Below are 20,135 nucleotides of genomic sequence, written 5' to 3' on the forward strand. Positions count from 1 at the left end.
TCTGCTTTTCATGGCATCTTCTTACCTTCAATTCTGAATAGACAGAATCTCTAAAAGCTTCAGTTTGTCTTTGGTTTATTTATTTATTTTTAATTTTTATCAGTCACCAGGAGTAAGATCAAGTCTTTGGTTTTTATGATGGCTTCTGTCTATGGCAGCAACTGTGCAGAGCACTGGTTAGGCAGTTATTTGTACAAAGATTGCGTGTAAGCTAATAATTGAACAATGTTATATTTGTGAATTTATTCAAGGTATTTTATTTTATTTCTTTATTTTTATTTATTTATTTTTAGAGACGGGGGTCTCGCTTTGTTGCCCAGGCTGGTCTTGAACTCCTGGGCTGAAGTGATCCTCCCGCCTTAGCCTCACAAAGTGCTGGGATTACAGGCGTGATTCACTGTGCCCAGCCTATTCAAGGTATTTTTGTTGATCTTGTAACAGTTATTCAAATTTATTCATATATGTGAATGTATAGTTTGCATTAATTTAATTGGCTTTCCTTTCTTTTTTCTTTTTTTCTGTTTTCTTCAAATAGGAAATTCCTTGATATTTTAAAGCATATCTGTGTATCTTGACCAAAGTATTGTGTGAAAAACATTTTTATTACAAAGATTTAGCTAACATTTTAAATATAATGAAAAAATATTTCCTCAAAATTGGGTTGGGGGATTGGCCTGAAAACTTACATCTCAACAAGAAGAGGTGTACAGTAAGAGCATAACAAATAAAATATCTTAATTTGATCACTTAAGATTTTCTTCTTTTTTTTTTAAATTTTTTTTGAGATGGAGTCTCACTCTGTCACCCAGGCCAGGAGTGCAGTGGCAGGCAGGAGTGCAGTGGTGCAATCTCAGCTCACTGCAACCTCCGCCTCCCAGGTTCAAGCGATTCTTCTGCCTCATCTTCCTGAGCAGCTGGGATTACAGGTCCACATCACCATGCCTGGCTAATTTTTGTATTTTTAGTAGAGATAGGGTTTCACCGTGTTGGCCAGGCTAGTCTCGATCTTCTGACCTCAGGTGATCCGCCCGCCTCGGCCTCCCAAAGTGCTGGGATTACAGTCATGAACTACTGCTCCCGGCCAAGATTTTCTTCTAAACTTATATTTATTCTATACATTTTTTTAATTGTTGCCTTACCTGTATATATTTTTTTAACTGATATTTGGGTAAAGAAGGTGGTTGGAAATAATTGCTCGGAAATTATTACTCTCTACAATAATTTTGAAAAGAGCCTAGGCATGGTGGTACACAACTGTAGTCCCAGCTACTTGAGAGGCTGAGGCAGGAGAATCACTTGAACCCGGGAGGCGAAGTTTGCAGTGAGCCAAGATTGTGCCACTGCACTCCAGCCTGGGCAACAGAGCGAGACTCTGTCAAAAAAAAAAAAAAAAAAGAAAAGAGCCTATTGAGTTTTAAACCCTCACTCCATATTATTTTCCATTTATCATTAATGTATATGGAGAGTTGAAATCAATGCATGCACAATTTTGTGATTTACTTTGACATTATTTCTTACATTCCTTTTTACTTAATTTAAATTTTTATTAATATATACACATATATTCTGTATATATTATATACATATACAGAATATATGTATACATATACATATATTCTATTGTGCTTAGGCAATAATAACAGTTTACTTAGGTCTCCTCTCATTGTTTAGATCATTTCGTATTTTCTCATTGTAGCTGTCATGATTGTTACTATCATTTTTTTTCTCCAGTTATTTCCTGTTCTTCCTACTTTGCGTGTTCCTTTAAAAGTATAGTCCTCAGAACGAAATTACTGGGTCAAAGCACTTGACTAGCTTTATAGCACTTGTTAAATAGTGTCAGATTGTTCTCTAGAACAGTTTTAAAGTGTCACTGGAGTTATTTAAGTTTAGGGGTTTCTCTGTGGCCTGGCCACATTGATTTTTATCGTTTTTATAAGGTATTTAGAATATAACGTTTCCTTAAAAATGTTTTAATAATCATTTATTCTGGTGGCCTATATTTATGTGAGTAATTTTATTATAATTATTTCTTGGTATATAATCTGTGCATCAGTTTTGACCACTTAGCCTGAAAACTTTGTAGATTTGTTCTATTTATTTGTATCAACTCTTTTCTTTTTCTTTTTTTCTTTTTTTTTTTTTTTTTTGAGACAACGTCTCACTCTATCACCCAGGCTTGGAGTGCAGTGGTGCAGTTGTGGCTCACTGCAGCCTTGACTTCCTGGGTTCAAATGATCCTCCCTTCTCACCTTCCTCAGTAGCTGAGACCACAGGCATGTGCCATCACACCTGGCTAATTTTTAAAATTTTTAAACAAAAATGAGGTCTCGTTCTGTTGTCCAGACTGGTATTGAACTCCTGTGCTCATGTGATCCTCCCATCTCAGCCTCCCAAAATGCTGGGATTACAAGCGTGAGCCACCATTGCCCAGCCCCGTATCAAATCTTTATAGATAATTCAGATTTATCACAGTTTTCCTCTTATATTGTCGTTCCTGATATAAGACTTTCTTATGCTTTATCATGCAAAAGTTTTTTTAATTAAAAATAATTTTTTGTTTTGGTAAGTTACACGTAAAATTCACCAAAATGTACAATTCAGTGGCATTTAGTGCATTCACAAAGTTGTACAAACTATCACCACTCTAGTTCCAGAATATTTTCATCACCCTGAAACAAAACTCTGTACTCTCCTACCCTCAGCACCTGGCAACCGCTAATTTGCTTTTTTCTCTCTGTCTATGGAGTCACCAATTCTGGATATTTCATATAAAAGGAATCATACGGCCAGGCGCGGTGGCTCATGCCTGTAATCTCAGTACTTTGGAAGGCTGAGGTGGGTGGATCACAAGGTCAGGAGATCGAGACCATCCTGGCCAACATGGTGAAATCCCATCTCTACTAAAAGTACAAAAATTAGGCCGGGCACGGTGACTCAAGCCTGTAATCCCAGCACTTTGGGAGGCTGAGGCGGGCAGATCACGAGGTCAGGAGTTTGAGACCATCCTGGCTAACATACTGAAACCCTGTCTCTACTAAAAATACAAAAAAATTAGCCGGGCGTGGTGGCGGGCGCCTGTAGTCCCAGCTACTTGGGAGGCTGAGGCAGGAGAATGGTGTGAACCCAGGAGGCAGAGCTTGCAGTGAGCCAAGATCGCGCCACTGCACTCCAGCCTGGGCGACAGAGCGAGACTCCATCTCAAAAAAAAAAAAATTAGCTGGGCGTGGTGGCGCATGCCTGTAATCCAAGCTACTTGGGAGGGTGAGGCAGGAGAATCACTTGAACCAGGGAGTTGGAGGTTGCAGTGAGCTGAGGTCACGCCACTGCACTCCAGCCTGGCAACAGAGCGAGACTGCATCTTAAAAAAAAAAAAAAAAATCATACAGTATGTGACCTTTTGTGTCTGGCTTCTTTTATTTAGCATAATTTTTCTGAAGTTCGACCATGCTGTAGCATGTAGCATCTATCAGTATTTTATTTCTTTTTATGGCTGGATAATATTCAGTTGTATGGATACATTTTGTTTATTCATCTGTTGATGTATATATGGGTTGTTTCTATATTTTGGCTATCGAATAGTGCTTCTATGAACATTTATGTACAAGTTTTTTTGAACATCTGTTTTTAATTCTTTGGGTATGTACCTAGATGTGAAACTGCTGAGTCATATGATAGTTCTATGTTTAGCTTTTTGAGGAACTGCCAAACCATTTTCCACAATAGCTGTACCATTTTACATTCCCACCAGCAACGTATAAGAGTTCCAATTTCTCCACATCCCCTCCCTCCCTCCCTTCCTCCCTCCCTCCCTCCCTTCCTCCCTTCCTTCCTTCCCCCCGCCACTTTCATTCATTCCTTCTACCATGTAGTACATATGAAGTGATGTTTCCTTGTGGTTTTTATTTGCATTTCACTAATGACATTGAGCACCTTTTCTGTGTACTTTCTGGCCATTTGTATATCATCTTTGGAGAATTGTTCTTTCAAGACCTTTGTCCTTTTTTAAAATTTACTTTTAGAGACAGAATCTAGCTTTGTCACCCAGGCCAGAGTGCAGTGGCACAGTCATAGCTCACTGCAGCCTCAAACTCCTAGGCTCAAGTAATCCTCCTGCCTCAGCCTCAGTAGTAGCTATGGCTACAGGCATACCCTACCATGTCTGGCTAGTGTATGTATTTATTTTTTAGCTTTTGTGGAGATGGGGTCTTGCTGTCTTGCCCTGGCTGGTCTCCAACTCCTGGCCTCAAACAATCCTCCCATCTTGGCCTCCCAAAAGCACTGGGATTATAGGTATGAGCCACTGGGCCTGGCCCTTTGCCCATTTTTATGTTGGGTTATTTGTCTTGGTTGTTGAGTTTTAAGAGGTTTTTGAAAAGGTATTCTGGTTACTAGACCCTAATCAGGTGTATGATTTGCAAATATTTTTGCACAGTCTATGGGTTGTCTTTTCATTCTTGATAGTGTCCTTTCATGCACGAAAGTTTTTAATTTTGATGAGGTCCAATTTATCTATTTTTTGTTTTTGTTCATACTTTGAGTATCATATCTAAGAAACCAGTGCCAAAATCATGGTAATGAAGATTTCCCCCTGTGTTTTCTTCTAAGACTTTCATAGGTTTAGCTGTTATATTTAGGTCTTTCATCCATTTAAAGTTAGTTTTTGTATATGGTTTGAGGTAAGGTCTAACATAATCCTTTTGTGTGTGGATACCAGTTGTCCCAGCAACATTTATTGAAAAGACTCTTCATTTCCCATTGAACAATCTTGGTATCCTTGTCAAAAATCTATTGACCACAGATATATGGGTTTATTTCTGAATTATAAGTTCTGTTACATTTATCTATATGTCTCTCCTTATGCCAGTATCATACTGTTTTCATTGCTATAACTTTGTAGTAAGTTTTGAAATTGTGAATTATGAGTCCTTCAACTTTGTTCATCTTTAAGATTATTTTAGCTCTTCATGATCCCTTGTAATTTTATTGTAGGATCTGCTTTTCCATTTCTACTAAAAAGGCAGCGATATTTTAAAAGGAATTGTGGCTAGGCACAGTAGCTCACACCTATAATTCCAGCATTTTGTGGGGCCAAGGCAGGAGGATCACATGAGGCCAGGAGTTCAAGACCAGCCTGGGCAACGTAGCAAGACCCTATCTCTAAAAAAAATTTAAAAATTAGCCAGGCATGGTGGCACAAGCCTGTAGCCTCTGCTACTGTGGATGCTGAGGTGGGAGGATTGCTTGAGCCCAGGAGTTCAAGGTTATGGTGAGCTATGATTGTTCCACTGCACTCCAGCTTGGGTGACAAAGTGAGCCCTGTCTCTGAAAAAATAAAATTAAAAAATTGGCCGAGTGCGGTGGCTCATGCCTGTAATCCCAGCACTTTGGGAGGCCGAGGCAGGCAGATCACTGGAGCCCAGGAGTTTGATACCAGCCTGGGCAACATGGCAAAACCCTGTCTCTACAAAAAATACAAAAACTACCCACATATGGTGGCATGCACCTGTAGTCCCCGTTACTTGGGAAGCTGAGGTGGGAGGATCACTTGAGCCCAGGAGGCAGAGGCTGCAGGGAGCTGAGATTCTGAGATTGTGCCATTGCATTCCAGATTGGGCAGCAGAGCAAGACCTTGTCTGGAAAAAAAAAAAAAAAAAAAAAGGAATTGCACTGAATCTGTAGATCACTTTGGAGAGCACTGCCATCTTAACAATATGAGGTCTTTCAATCCATAAATATGGGATGTCTTTCCATTTATTTAGGTCATCTTTAATTCCTTTCAGCAATGTTTTGTAGCTTTTAGTGCACAAGTCTTGTGCTGCCTTGGTTAAATTTATTCCTAAGCATTTTATTGTTTTGATGTCATTGTAAATCGAACTGTTTTCTTAATTTTCCTTTTAGACTTCTTGCTAGTGCATATAAATATGACTGATTTTTGGCCTGGCCTGATGGCTCATGCCTGTAATCCCAGCATTTTCGGAGACCGAGGTGGGTGGATCATCTGAGGTCAGGAGTTCGACACCAGCCTGGCCAACATGGTGAAACCCCATCTCTACTAAAATACAAAAATTAGCCGGGTGCAGTGGCAAATGCCTGTAATCCCAGCTACTTGGGAGGCTGAGACATGAAAATCGCTTGCACCAGGAGGTGGAGGTTGCAGTGAGCCAAGATCGCGATACTGTACTCCAGCCTGGGTGACAGAATGAGACACTCTCTCAAGGAAAAAAAAAAAAAGAAATAAGACTGATTTTTGTGTGTGTTGATCTTGTATCATGCAGCTTTATACAACTTGACACAAAAGGTCTTTATTTGTATATATTCAAGCATATTGATCTAGACTCTTATGATGATTTTCATTTCTCTTATAGAAGATCATTTCTTTTATAAAAATCATTTCTTTTATTCTATCTGGACATAAATATACTGTTCTTTTTTTTGTTTTTGAGACGGAGTCTTGCTCTGTTGGCCAGGCTGGAGTGCAGTGGCGCAATCTCAGCTGACTAGAACCTCTGCCTCCTGGGTTCAAGTGATTCTCCCACCTGGCCAATATGGTAAAACCCCATCTCTACTAAAAATACAAAAATTAGCTGGGCTTGTTGGTGCATGCCTGTAATTCCAGCTACTCGGGAGGCTGAGGCACAATAATCTTGAACCTGGGAGGCGGAGGTTGCAGTAAGCCAAGATTGCGCCACTGTACTCCAGCCTGGGCAACAGAGCAAGACCCTGTCTCAAAAAAAAAAAAAAAAAAATCGTTAGTATTCTTGTGTTTATTCAGCTTTGCTTTCCATAGAGTAAAAACTATTTAGTTATAAGAAAAATTTATTTTATTTTAGTTATTTAAGAGACAGGTGGCCTGGCACAGTGGCCCATGCCTGTAATCCTAACACTGGGAGGCCGAGGCAGATGGATCACTTGAGCCCAGGAGTTCAAGACCAGCCTAGGCAACATGGTGAAACCCCGTCTCTACAAAAGATACAAAAATTAGCTGGGCATGGAGGCGTGCTCCTGTAGCCCCACCTCCTTGGGTGGCTGAGTTAGCAGGATTCTTTAAGCCCAGGAGTTAGAGGCTGCAGTAAGCCATGATCGTGCCACTGCACTCCAGCCTGGGCAACAAAGCAAGACCTTGTCTCAAAAGAAAAAAAGAGAGAGGGAGAGAGACAGGGTCTTGCTGTGCTGCCGGGCTGGATTCAAACTCCTGGGCTCAAATCATCCTCCTGCCTTAGCCTCTTGAGTAGCTGGGATTTATAGGCATGCATCACTGAGCCCAATGAAAATTCATTTTTTTTTTTTTAGACGGAGTCTCGGTCTGTCGCCCGTGCTGGAGTGCAGTGGCGTGATCTTGGCTCACTGCAAGCTCCGCCTCCCGGGTTCACGCCATTCTCCTGCCTCAGCCTCCCAAGTAGCTGGGACTACAGACGCCTGCCACCACGCCCGGCTAATTTTTTGTATTTTTTTAGTAGAGACGGGGTTTCACTATGTTAGCCAGGATAGTCTTGATCTCCTGACCTCGTGATCTGCCTGCCTCGGCCTCCCAAAATGCTGAGATTACAGGCGTGAGCCACCACGTCCAGCTTGAAAATTCATTTTTAAGTACAGTTTTGCTTTATAGTTTTCTTCTTTTTTGACTTACAATTTTTTTCTTTCATTTAACACTTGTCAAATCATTATTTGTATCTAAATCATTATTCTCAAAAATTTCATTGTGGCCGGGCACAGTGGCACACGCCTGTAATCCCAGCACTTTTGGAGGCTGAGGCAGGTGGATCACTTGAGGCCAGGAGTTCGAGAGCAGCCTGGCCAACATGGCAGAACCCTGTCTCTACTGAAAATACAAAATTACCCAGGTGTGGTGGTACACGCCTGCAGTCTCAGCTACTCAGGAGGCTGAGTGGGAGGATTGCTTCAATCTGGGAAGCAGAGGTTGCAGTGAGCCATGATCACGCCACTGCACTCCAGCTTAGACAACAGAGTGAGACCCTGTCTCAAATAAATAAATAAGTAAATAAAAAATAAAAGCACTTGATACTCTGTAGGTACAAAATAACATGCTGTTAGAAAAAAGTTGAAAATTTTATTGAAAACACTATTAGAAAAGGAGGGGAAGTCCTTAGACTTTATATAGTTATCACCACAATTTTTGTTTTGTTTTGTTTTTTGAGACAGGGTCTCACTCTCTCACCCAGGTTGTACTGCATTAGCACGTTCATAGCTCACTACAACCTTGACCTCCTTGGGCTCAAGGGATCATCCTACCTCAGCCTCCTGAATAGCTGGGACTACAGGTGTGTGCCACCATGCCTGGCTAATTTTTGTATTTTTGCAGAGACAGTTTCACCATGTTGCTCAGGCTGGTTTCAAACTCCTGAGCTCAAGCAGTCCTCCCACCTCAGTGTCCCAAAGTGCTGGGACTACAGGCATGAGCCACCATTCCTGACCTCACTACAAATTTTTTGGCAGCTTTAACTTTAGTATTTTTGTTTTATAGCTTAATATATCATACTTATATTGATATATTTATAAAGAGCTGCATATTTTTGTAAATTTAATTTTGTATTACCACATCATGCAAAAGTGGCTAGAACATTTTGGGGTATATTTCACCATATTTGGAAGATGTATTTGGGTTAGTTTAATTTAAACTTTAGAATGTAGGCTATGTGGTGACACAAAATATAGTTTAGGGATACTTCAAAGAAACAGACATCTTCCAAAATAGTTGAAACTGAAAATCCAGGCGAGGCCTACATGTTTGCCAGCTAGGAGGGACATACCATTTGTATTTAGATGCTTTGAATAGAGATAAGAATTTACTTCAAATGTCAGCTCCCATATGGAAAGTCATGAGGGTGGTTACTCCAAACAGTAGGGAGTGATTGTTGATCAAATTGCTTCTCATATTGGCTTTTCTGTATAGCAGCAGGGTTTCATTTATTTAACAGTGGTTATTAATCATTCTCCCAAGGAACACTGGAGAGGCAAGCTAGTGTATCACAGAATACCTGATCTTCCTTTACATATAGAATTTTTTTTTTTTTTTTTGAGATGGAGTTTCACTCTTGTTGCCCAGGCTGGAGTGCAATGGCACGATCTCGGCTCACCCACCGCAACCTCCACCTCCCAGGTTCAAGTGATTCTCCTGCCTCAGCCTCCCAAGTAACTGGGATTACAGGCATGCACCACCACGCCCGGCTAATGTTATATTTTTAGTAGAGACGGGGTTTCTCCATGTTGGTCGGGCTGGTCTCGTACTCCTAACCTCAGGTGATCCGCCCGCCTCAGCCTCCCAAAGTGCTGGGATTACAGGCATGAGCCACCATGCTCAGCCCCCTTTTCTAAGGTCCCTCATCCCATTTATAAGAGTGGAGCCCTAATGGCCTAATCACCTCCCAAAGGCCCCATCTCTTAATATCACCACAGTAGGGATTAAGCTGCAACATGAATTTTGGAGAGGACACATTCAAACTGTGGCAATTATTAGTTACCTAAATTGGCTCATGAAGATTTGAAAACTTGAATAAACCAATAATCATTAAATAAGTTGAATAGGTATCAAAAGTTCCCCCCTTCCCTCAAAAGAGACTGGTAAAAGTTAATGAGAGTTTAGCTTGATTACTAATTCAGGGTCACTGTATGAAATCAAGCAAACCAAAAACTGGTTCTTTGAAAAGGCAAGTGAAATTGGAAAGACCAGCCAGGTGTGGTGGCTCACACCTGTAATCCCAGCACTTTGGGAGGCTGAGGCGGGCAGATCACGAGGTCGGGAGATCGAGACCATCCTGGCTAACACGGTGAAGCCCCGTCTCTACTAAAAAAAATACAAAAAATTAGCCGGTCGTGGTGGCGGGCGCCTGTAGTCCCAGCTACTTGGGAGGCTGAGGCAGGAGAATGGCGTGAACCCGGGAGGTGGAGGTTGCAGTGAGCCAAGATTGCGCCACTGTACTCCAGCCTGGGCGACAAAGTGAGACTCCATCTCAAAAAAAAAAAAAGAAATTGGAAAGATCGTCAGCACACATTAAGACAGGAAGAGATGACACAAATTCTCAATAACAAAAATGAAAAAAAAAGAACATCAATATAGATCCTACAAATAATATTAAAGGACACATGATAAGAGGTATTATTAATTTAATGCCAAAACATTTGCAAAGTTAGATGAAATGGCCAATGTCCTAGAAAAACACTTCTATACAAAACTGACAGAAAAAGATAGGGAAAATCTGAATAGTTCCATGTCTATTAACATATTGAATCTGTAAGTTAATATTTTGGTACCTAAATGGTTTCATTGATGAATTCTTTATTTTTTATTTATTTATTTATTTTTGAGATGGAGTTTTGCTCTTGTTGCCCAGGCTGGAGTGCAATGGCACAATCTCAGCTCACCGCAACCTCTGCCTCCCAGGTTCAAGCTATTCTCCTGCCTCAGCCTCCCGAGTAGCTGGGATTACAGGCACGTGCCACCATGCCCTGCTAATTTTGTATTTTTAGTAGAGACAGGGTTTCTCCATGTTGGTCAGGCTGGTCTTGAACTCCCAACCTCAGGTGATGCTCCTGGCTTGGCCTCCCAAAGTGCTGGGATTACAGGTGTGAGCCACCGCACCCAGCTGGTGAATTCTTTCAAACATGAAAGAATACAACCAATGTAACATAAACTTTCAGAGAATTGAAAAGGAAAAAAACACTCCCCAACCCATTTTATGAGACCAGCATAAGTTGGACAGCAAAACTAAGAATATTATGAGAAAGAAAAATTATAGCAGTTTCTCTTATTAATATAGATATAAAAATCCTAAACAAGGCCAGGCACGTAGCTCACGCCTGTAAATCCCAGCACTTTGGGAGGCCAAGGCAGGTGGATCACCTGAGGTCAGGAGTTTGAGACCAGCCTGGTCAACATGGTGAAACCCTGTCTCTACTAAAAATACAAAAATTAGCTGGGTGCGGTGGTGCGCACATATAGTACCAGCTACTTAGGAGGCTGAGGCTGGAGAATCGCTTGAACCCGGGAGGCGGAGGTTGCAGTGAGCCAAGATTGTGCCACTGCACTCCAGCCTGGTGACAAAGCGAGACTCGGTCTCAAAAAAAAAAAAAAAAATTCTGAACAAAACATTAGCAAGTCAAATCCAGAGATAGATAAAAATTATATACATGATGACCATGTTGGATTTAATCTGAAAATTCAAGATTGTTTAATATTTGAAAAGCGATCTATGTAATTTACCACATTAACAAAATATATGAGGAAAATCATCTCAAAAGATGTAAAGTGAGCATTTGAGGAAATTCATGCATTTATGATAAAACAACCAATTTTAAGCAAAGTAGGGTTAGAAAGTAATTTCCTTAACTCGATAGAGTATTTTAAGCATCCTATGACAAATATCAAATTTAATGATTAATTCTCAAAAACCTTCCCTTGAGATCTAGAAAAGGATACCCACCATCATCACTTCTATTCCGCTTTTCACTGTAGATTCTAATCAATGAAATAAAGCACAGAAAAGGAAATAAAGAGTATAGAGATTGGAAAGGAAGAAATATAACTGATAAGCTGATATTATTTGTAGACAATATGATTTTATATGTAGAAAACTCAAAACAATTTATAAACAAATGTATTTAGCAAAGTTATTACATGCAAGATTTATATACAAATTATATTTCTGTATATAGCAGCAGTAAACATAGTGAAACTTTTAAAAAGAAACTTTTTAATAGCATAAAAAGACATCAGATACCTTGAAAAGTTCTTACAAAGATTTACAAGAACCTCTATAAGCTACAAAATATTGTTCACAGAAATTAATTAATATATAAATAAATCCATATCCATGGATTGGAATGCTCAATGTTGTAATTATGTCAATTCCTCCCATATTAATCTAGAACTTCATTGCCATCCCAATTATAATCCCAGCAGAGTTTGGGGGTTTTGGGTGGAATCTGATAAGCTGACTCTAAAATGTGTATGGAAACTGCAAAGGAATAAGAATAGCCAAGACAATTTATAAAAGGAATAAAGTGTAAAGACTTCCACTATCAGATATGAAGATTTATTATAATGCTCTTTTTTTGTTTGTTTGTTTGTTTGTTTTGAGACACAGTCTCGCTGTATTGCCTAAGCTGGAATGCAGTGGCGTGATCTCAGCTCACTGCAGCCTCTGCCTCCCACATTCAAGCGTTTGTCGCCCAGGCTGGAGTGCAGTGGCGCAATCTTGGCTCACTGCAATCTCCACCTCACAGGTTCAAATGATTCTCCTCCCTCAGCCTCCTGAGTAGCTGAGATTACAGGTGCATGCCACAACACCCAGCTAGTTTTTGTATTTTTAGTTAGAGATGAGGTTTCACTATGTTGGCCAGGCTGGTCTCAAACTCCTGACCTCAAGTGATCCACCCGCCTCAGCCTCCCAAAGTGCTAGGATTACAGGCATGAGCCACCGTGCCCGACCTACTGTGCTATTTTATACAAGGGACTTTAACATCTGTGGATTTTGGTATCTGCTGGGGTCCTGGAACAAGTTCTCAGTGGATACTGAGGGAGGAACAACTCTATTCACCATAAATCACTTTGTAGGATAAATTGACCTCATCAGACTGGTACATAATGGCTCAGGCCTCAGGCATACAAAAACATTTATAAAGCAGAATATTTCATGGGCTCAGAGGTTATCTCTCAGAATCCAGCCAAGGGCCAGTCCTGAAAACAAAGCTTTCTTTGGAATGTACAGGGTTTGAGCAACCACGGAATACATTGCATCACAACAGGGGATACATTCTGAGAAAGGTGGTTTTTAGTTGATTTCATCATTGCGAACATCATAGAGTGTATCTACACAAATCTAGATAGTATAGGTTTGCCTTGGAAACGGGGAGATGGTAAGGTTGTTCAGATGCTGTTTGCCATAAATTCTAGCTACCATGCTTCTTTCATTTCCTTTATTTCTCTTTACCTTCCACAAGTCCAGTCCATCAGTGAATAGATTGCTTCCTGTGCCTACTATATGCAGGGCCTATATCCCTTGAGATAGAAATGTGGTCTTTTTGCCCTAATATGTTCCTGATAATGAAATCAATTCAAAAGCCAGTCAATAGTTTTCCTACAATTGTTTTGTGAAGAAAGCCTGCAGTAACATTTTTGTTACAGTTTGTACACCCCAACCTCCCACCTCTCATGATTATAACTCATATCTCAACAGATTATAAGTCATCACGTGTCATTTACCTTCAGGGTACTTGAAATAGTCACAACTCTAGGTATTAAATTGAATAATGCAAGATCAGTTGAATGTGTTAACTACCAAATGAATAAATGAAAGTGAATACTGCCAATAGATGAAGGCTAGAAAAAAGAGGCTGCCTTCCTTAAACTTTCCTTTTCATTCTCTCTAGGTTTATTGTAACTAGCTCTAATAGTTTCATTTTGCTTACAATAGTGGTAATATATTACATTAATGACATAAAAATATAAACTTTTTTTTTTTTTTGAGACGGAGTCTCGCTCTGTTGCCCAGGCCAGAGTGCAGTGGTGCAATCTTGGCTCACTGCAACCTCCACCTCCCAGGTTCACGCCATTCTTCTGCCTCAGCCTCTCCAAGGAGCTGGGACTACAGGCGCCCGCCACCACGCCCGGCTAATTTTTTTTTTTTTTTTCTGTTTTTAGTAGAGACAGGGTTTCACTGTGGTCTCGATTTCCTGACCTCGTGATCCGCCCGCCTCAGCCTCCCAAAGTGCTGGTATTACAAGCGTGAGCCACTGCGCCCGGCCAAAATATAAACTTTTAAAAATAAAATAGTTGAGAAATTGAAACCCGTAAACGAACATCAGACTAATGCAGCAAAAGTGACTCATCTTGGTGTTTCCTTTGACTTATAGTACAGAATTAAAATATACGGCCTAGTTTTTCTTGATTGAAATACCCTCTTGTGATTAAGAAATGTTATTCTCTTATTTTCTACTGGTTTTTTTTTTTGAACGTGTTTCTATTTTATTTTACCAACAATTTAAAACTATCTTTAGGGCCGGGTGCGGTGGCTAATGCCTGTAATTCTAGCACTTTGGGAGGCCAAGGCGGGCGAATCACAAGGTCAAAAGATCAAGACCATCCTGGCCAACATGATGAAACCCCGTCTCTCCTAAAAATGCAAAAATCAGCTGGGTGTGGTGGTACGCGCCTGTAGTCCCACCTACTCAGGAGGCTGAGGCAGGAGAATCGCTTGAACCCAGGAGGCAGAAGTTGCAGTGAGCTGAGATCACGCTACTGCACTCCAGCCTGGCGATAGAACAAGACTCCGTCTCAAAAATATAATAAAATAAAATAAAAAATAAAGCTATCTTTATTTACCAAAGATTGCCAAATTCATATGAACTTGAAAAGCATGCAGGCTAGTTATTTAATTTATAAGTGTTCATTTATTTATAGGTCAGTGATACCATGTAGACAATATACAAACATACATGTATACCTGTACACATAATACAGACAGACAAAAGTAAAGACTTTATAACTTTATTTTAAAATTTTAGCCATGAGGCCAGGTGTGGTGGCTCATGACTGTAATCCCAGCACTTTGGGAGGCCGAGGTGGGCAGATCATTTGAAGTCAGGAGTTCGAGACCAGCCTGGCCAACATGGCGAAACCCCGTCTCTACTAAAAATGCAAAAAAAATTACATGGGTGTTGTGGTAAACCCCTGTAATCCCAGCTACTGGAGAGGCTGAGGCAGAAGAATCACTTGAACCCAGGAAATGGAGGTTGTGGTGAGCCGAGATTGCAACACTGCACTCCAGCCTGGGCAACAGAGTGAGACTCCATCAAAAAAAAAAATTTTTTTTTAATAAAACATAAAATTTTAGCCACGAGAAATGGCTACATTTGCTTTCTCATTTAACATTTGCTTTCTCATACCTTCCCAATAAAACTCACTAGTTTAAAAGGATAGTTGTATTCAAACTATGCCTTTGTAAATGGAAAAGGTTAAAGTTTATCTATTCCACATGACCAAAGCCCTTACTCATTTTTTTCTCTACTAGTTTCTGAAGTTTGTAGTCTGATATTTGAGATGTCTTACAGAATGTCTAGCATTCTGTTTGAAGTTTTATTGTGTTGTTTAGCGTGAATTGAAAAGCGCGTTAAATGCCTAATTAGGTGATGTGGAGCATATGAAGTTAGACCATGTGGTATATGAATTAAAGTAAAATGTATGAAAAATTACTTCATATACATGCCATACATGCTTATTACATATTTAATAGACTTTAGCTCACTTAGCCCAGAAAAGGAATTTAAATATGGAAAATAATCTGTTACAATTTTTCAAACTTGATACAACTCAAAGACTTTCAATAGCTAGTGGGTGTGTTGTTTCTTTGTGTTCTCATGTTTAAACTATTGGGATGAAGCTATATTGTTGCTGATAATCAAATCATTTTCAGCTGGCCACCAGAGTGAAAATAATATTCAAGCGCACAATTGAATTTTGCAACAATATAAGGAAATCTAGGATCCAAAGTAAATATAATTACTTTATTACTCCCCTAGCTGGGCACAGATTTAACAGTTTTGTTACGGAGCAGCAGAACTGTATTAAAGGTTGTAAAAAGTTGAAATGCCTCAGAGATGAAGTCTACTATTTAATTCCTGTTAATACACATCATAGGCCAGGTGTGGTGGCTCACCCCTGGAATCCCAGCACTTTGGGAGGCCGAGGCAGGCCGATCACGAGGTCAGGAGATCAAGATCATCCTGGCTAACACGGTGAAACCCCATCTCTACTAAAAATACAAAAAATTAGCCGGGCTTGGTGGTGGGCGCCTGTAGTCCCAGCTACTCAGGAGGCTGAGGCAGGAGAATGGCATGAACCTGGGAGGCGGAGCTTGCAGTGAGCTGAGATCGCACCACTGCACTCCAGCCTGGGTGACAGAGCGAGACTCCGTCTCAAAAAAAAAAAAAAAAAAAAAAAACAAAACCACACACACACACACACACACACATCATAGATTTATACCATCAAATGATAACTTTGCCCTCATTACTTCTTTTTTCTCTTCTTAAATATTGTCATTCCCCAAGATCACTTCTTTGACTTATAGCTGTTTTCTGTAAATATTTATTTCCTAAAATTATATTCTGATAGTTTAACCAATCACCTTGAAATTTATGAGTTTTAAATCTACATGTTTAGCCCTCACTTTGCACCTACATTCTAGATCCATATAGCTATGTGTCTATAAAACATTTTCATCTGGATGTCATACTGTAGTTCCAAATTCAGTTTATCTAAAGCAACATTTGCTTTCTCATACCTTCCCAATTTGGGATATAGGTAGCATTAATTATAGTTTCCAGGCTAGGATTTGGAATCATCCTTTGACTCTTTCTGCTCCATTATGACATATATTCATTTTGTCATTTTCAAATGTATCTGATTCATCAGTTTCTAACATTTCCTCTGTCTTCCTAGTGTAAGTCCTCATAGCTTCTTACCTAAATAGATACTGGAGATACTGTAGGGCATAAGGCAGATCAGATTTCAGTTCTCAGGGAGCTTAAAAGAAATCTTGACTACTGGTTATTGCCTCCTACATAATGTTCAAACTCACTCTATCAAAAGGAAGCCAACTGAAGCCATGTTCAGTTGTCTCCATGTTCAGATGTTACTTTCTAGAGCAGTGTGCAATAGCACACGTACTATCACTTCCTAATTTGTTTACTTATCTGTTTTCCTTACTAAGTTATAGGAGATGAAGATAGGATGTTATTTTTGCTTTCTGTTTTTATTTTTGAGGCAGAGTCTCATCCTGTCACCCAGGCTGGAATGCAGTGGTATGATCATAGCTTACTGCAGCCTTAAACTCCTAGGCTGAAGCCTCCTGAGTAGCTGAGACTACAGGTGTGTGCCACCATGCCCAACTGTAGATTTATGATTTATTTTTGTATCACAGTGCATAGTGCAATACCTATCACATACATCAGTGAACCATGGATGGATGAAAGCATTGTAGATACTTCCATTATACTTTGTCATTGGATTTAAACAGTGACCACAAGTGAATATAGGAGATTCTATATACTTTGTCATTGGATTTAAACAATGAACACAAGTGAATATAGGAGCCTTTTTTTTTTTTTTTTTTTTTTTTGAGACAAGAGTTTCACTCTTGTTGCCCAGGCTGGAGTGCAAATAGAGCAATCTCAGCTCACTGCAACCTCCACCTCCCGGGTTCAAGCGATTCTCCTGCCACAGCCTCCCAAGTAGCTGGGATTACAGCCACCCACCACCACAGCCAGCTAATTTTTTGTATTTTTAATAAAGATGGGGTTTCTCCATGTTGGCCAGGCTGGTCTCAAACTCCTTACCTCTGGTGATCCACCCACCTCGGCCTCCCAAAATTCTGGGATTACAGGCGTGAGCCACCATGCCTGGCCCCGTAATTATCTGTAATTTGCTTGTTCAAACTTACTCTAACTTTCTCATATAAATCCAGTCAAATTAATCTCTTTACTATCTTCTAAATACCCCATCTTTGTTCTTACCTGTTCTTTCAGTGCTTCTTTCTTTCCCTGTCATAGTCTAATATAATTGTCTTCTTTTTGAACTTTCCCTTTTCTCACATTGACATGTGGCTCTTAAATGTTGAATAATTTAGCAGTCCCTTATATTGATCAGTATTATGCATTTTTGTCTGTACCGTTATATTCATTCAATGTTTAATGCAAAGTTTGTCTGATCTCCTTAACTTGATTGGCAACTCTGTGTAAGTTGGTTCTGTGTTTTTCAACTTTTGTTGTCTGTGAAATGTTGGAAGCCCAGTATTAAAGGTTAGCTATAAATATTTCTCCAAACGTGATAATTCTGTATATATAATAGCACAGATCACTGTTTAACAAAGGGCAATTGTGTCATTATTCATTCTTGTTGATATTTTTATTATCTGAGTATCTATGTAATTATAGTATTAAAATTTTGACTTAATTTAGGCTAGTCAGATCATCAAACACCTAAAAAAAGGAAATTTTAAATTGTTCTGTTGGAATATTATAACAGGTACAAGTGGGACATTTCTTTATTCCATGTCTGACAATATTAGTAAATGATATATATTTTTTAGTACCTTGTCTTAGCCTAATGTTTTGAGTCTTCTGTATTTCATAACTCTGATTTAAAAATGAAGGCCGAGCGTGGTGTCTCACGCCTGTAATCCCAGCACTTTGGGAGGCCGAGGCGGGCGGATCACCTGAGGTCAGGAGTTCAAGACCAGCCTGGCCAACATGGTGAAATCCCGTCTGTACTAAAAACACAAAAATTAGCCGGGCATGGTGGTAGGCGCCTGTAATCCCAGCTACTCAGGAGGCTGAAGCAGGAGAATTGCTTGAACCCAGGAGGTGGAGGTTGCAGTGAGCTGATATCAGGCCACTGCACTCCAGCCACTCAGTCTCAAAAAGAAAAAAAAAAAAAGAAAATATAGATTTCTGTAAATCTCTTTTTACTGCCTATATTGACATCATTTATTTTATTATTCAAAAAGAAAGATAATAAAGCCCATCAAAATGCTTGATTTATAATTAGGAGACACTGTTTTCTTACAAATAGCCTACCTATTCTCTTGTATGTTTCTTTTCTCTAACTCTATTTCATCAACTTTTCTATTTATTTATTTATTTATATATTGTACATATCCAAGCTTATACTAGAATAGTTTTAAGATGAATTCATGCTCTTTTTCTTGGCCCCAGTTACTCCAGTTACTTCAGTCTCCTGTTGTCCCCACACCCTCCCTTCTTTTTTTTTTCTTTGAGACAGAGTTTGGCTTTTGTTGCCCAGGCTGGAGTGCAATGGTGCAATCTCAGTGAGCCGCAACCTCCGCCTCCCGGGTTCCAGTGATTCTCCTGCCTCAGCCTCCCAAGTAGCTGGATTACAGGCATGCGCCACCATGCCTGCCTAATTTTGTATTTTTAGTAGACACAGGGTTTCTCCATGTTGGTCAGGCTGGTCTTGAACTCCCAACCTCAGGCCATCTGCCCGCCTTGCCGCCTTTTTTTTTTTTTTTTTTTTTTTTTTTAGTCTTGCTCTGTCACCCAGGCTGGAGTACAGTGGCGCAATCTCAGCTCCCTGCAAGCTCTGCCTCCTGGGTTCACACCATTCTCCTGCCTCAGCCTCCCGAGTAGCTGGGACTACAGGCGCCTGCCACCACACCGGGCTAATTTTTTGTATTTTTAGTAGAGATGGGGTTTCACCATGTTAGCCAGGATGGTCTTGATCTCCTGACCTTCTGATCGCCCGCCTTGGCCTCCCAAAGTGCTGGGATTACGGGCGTGAGCCACCACGCCTGGCCACACCCGCCCTTCTTTAAAAGCCTCTGTAAGTGCAATTTGTTCTTTAACGATTTTTCCTGATGGACTCTTTACCCAACAATTAGAAATACATTGGCTTGATGATGTGATGAACCATCTGTAGAATTGACCAGTACCCCCAGAATTCTATTTGTACTTAACCTTTCTTTCCAAGCAAAGGAAGCTGTTTATTTTTTTTCCTGAGTGTTCCATTGCAATGTAAATTTTATTTATTTATTTATCTATGTATTTATCTTCAGAGATAGAGTCTTGCTGTTGCGTAGGCTGGGGTGCAGTGGCACAATCTTAGCTCACTATAACCTCAAACTCCTGACCTCAAATGATCCTCCTGCATTAGCCTCCCAAGTAGATGAGACTACAGACCCCTGGCTAATTTTTTTTTTTTTTAAGAGACGAGGTCTCACTCTGTCACCCAGGCTGAAGTACAGTGGCAATATCCTAACTCACTGTAGCCTTGGACTCCTGGGCTTAAGCAATCCTTCTACCTCAGCCTCCTGAGTATCTGAGACTATAGGTGTGGACCACCATACCCAGCTAATTTTTGTATTTTTTGTAGAGATGTTACCCAGGCTGGTCTCAAACTCCTGGGCGTAAGCAGTCCTCCCACCTTGGCCTCCCAAAGTACTGCTATGACAGGCATATGCCACTGCACCCAGCCTGCAATATAAATTTTTGAAATATATTTTTAAAAATTTAGACCTATCACAGAAAGTTGTTAAATTTCTAAGTCTTAAAGTCTTGCATTATTAGGAAGTTAATTTTATGGATTAAAATAAATCTACTTT

General features: G+C 40.0%; 1 protein-coding gene across 3 annotated transcripts in view; it reads left to right on the forward strand.

Annotated features, from left to right (window-relative positions):
* Window positions 1-20,135, forward strand: part of GOLM2 (golgi membrane protein 2) — a 127,040-nt gene that overhangs the window by 92,825 nt on the left and 14,080 nt on the right. The window lies entirely within an intron of this gene.

Source organism: Homo sapiens, chromosome 15 (genome assembly GCF_000001405.40).
Source record: "Homo sapiens chromosome 15, GRCh38.p14 Primary Assembly".
NCBI classification, from domain to species: Eukaryota; Metazoa; Chordata; class Mammalia; order Primates; family Hominidae; genus Homo; species Homo sapiens.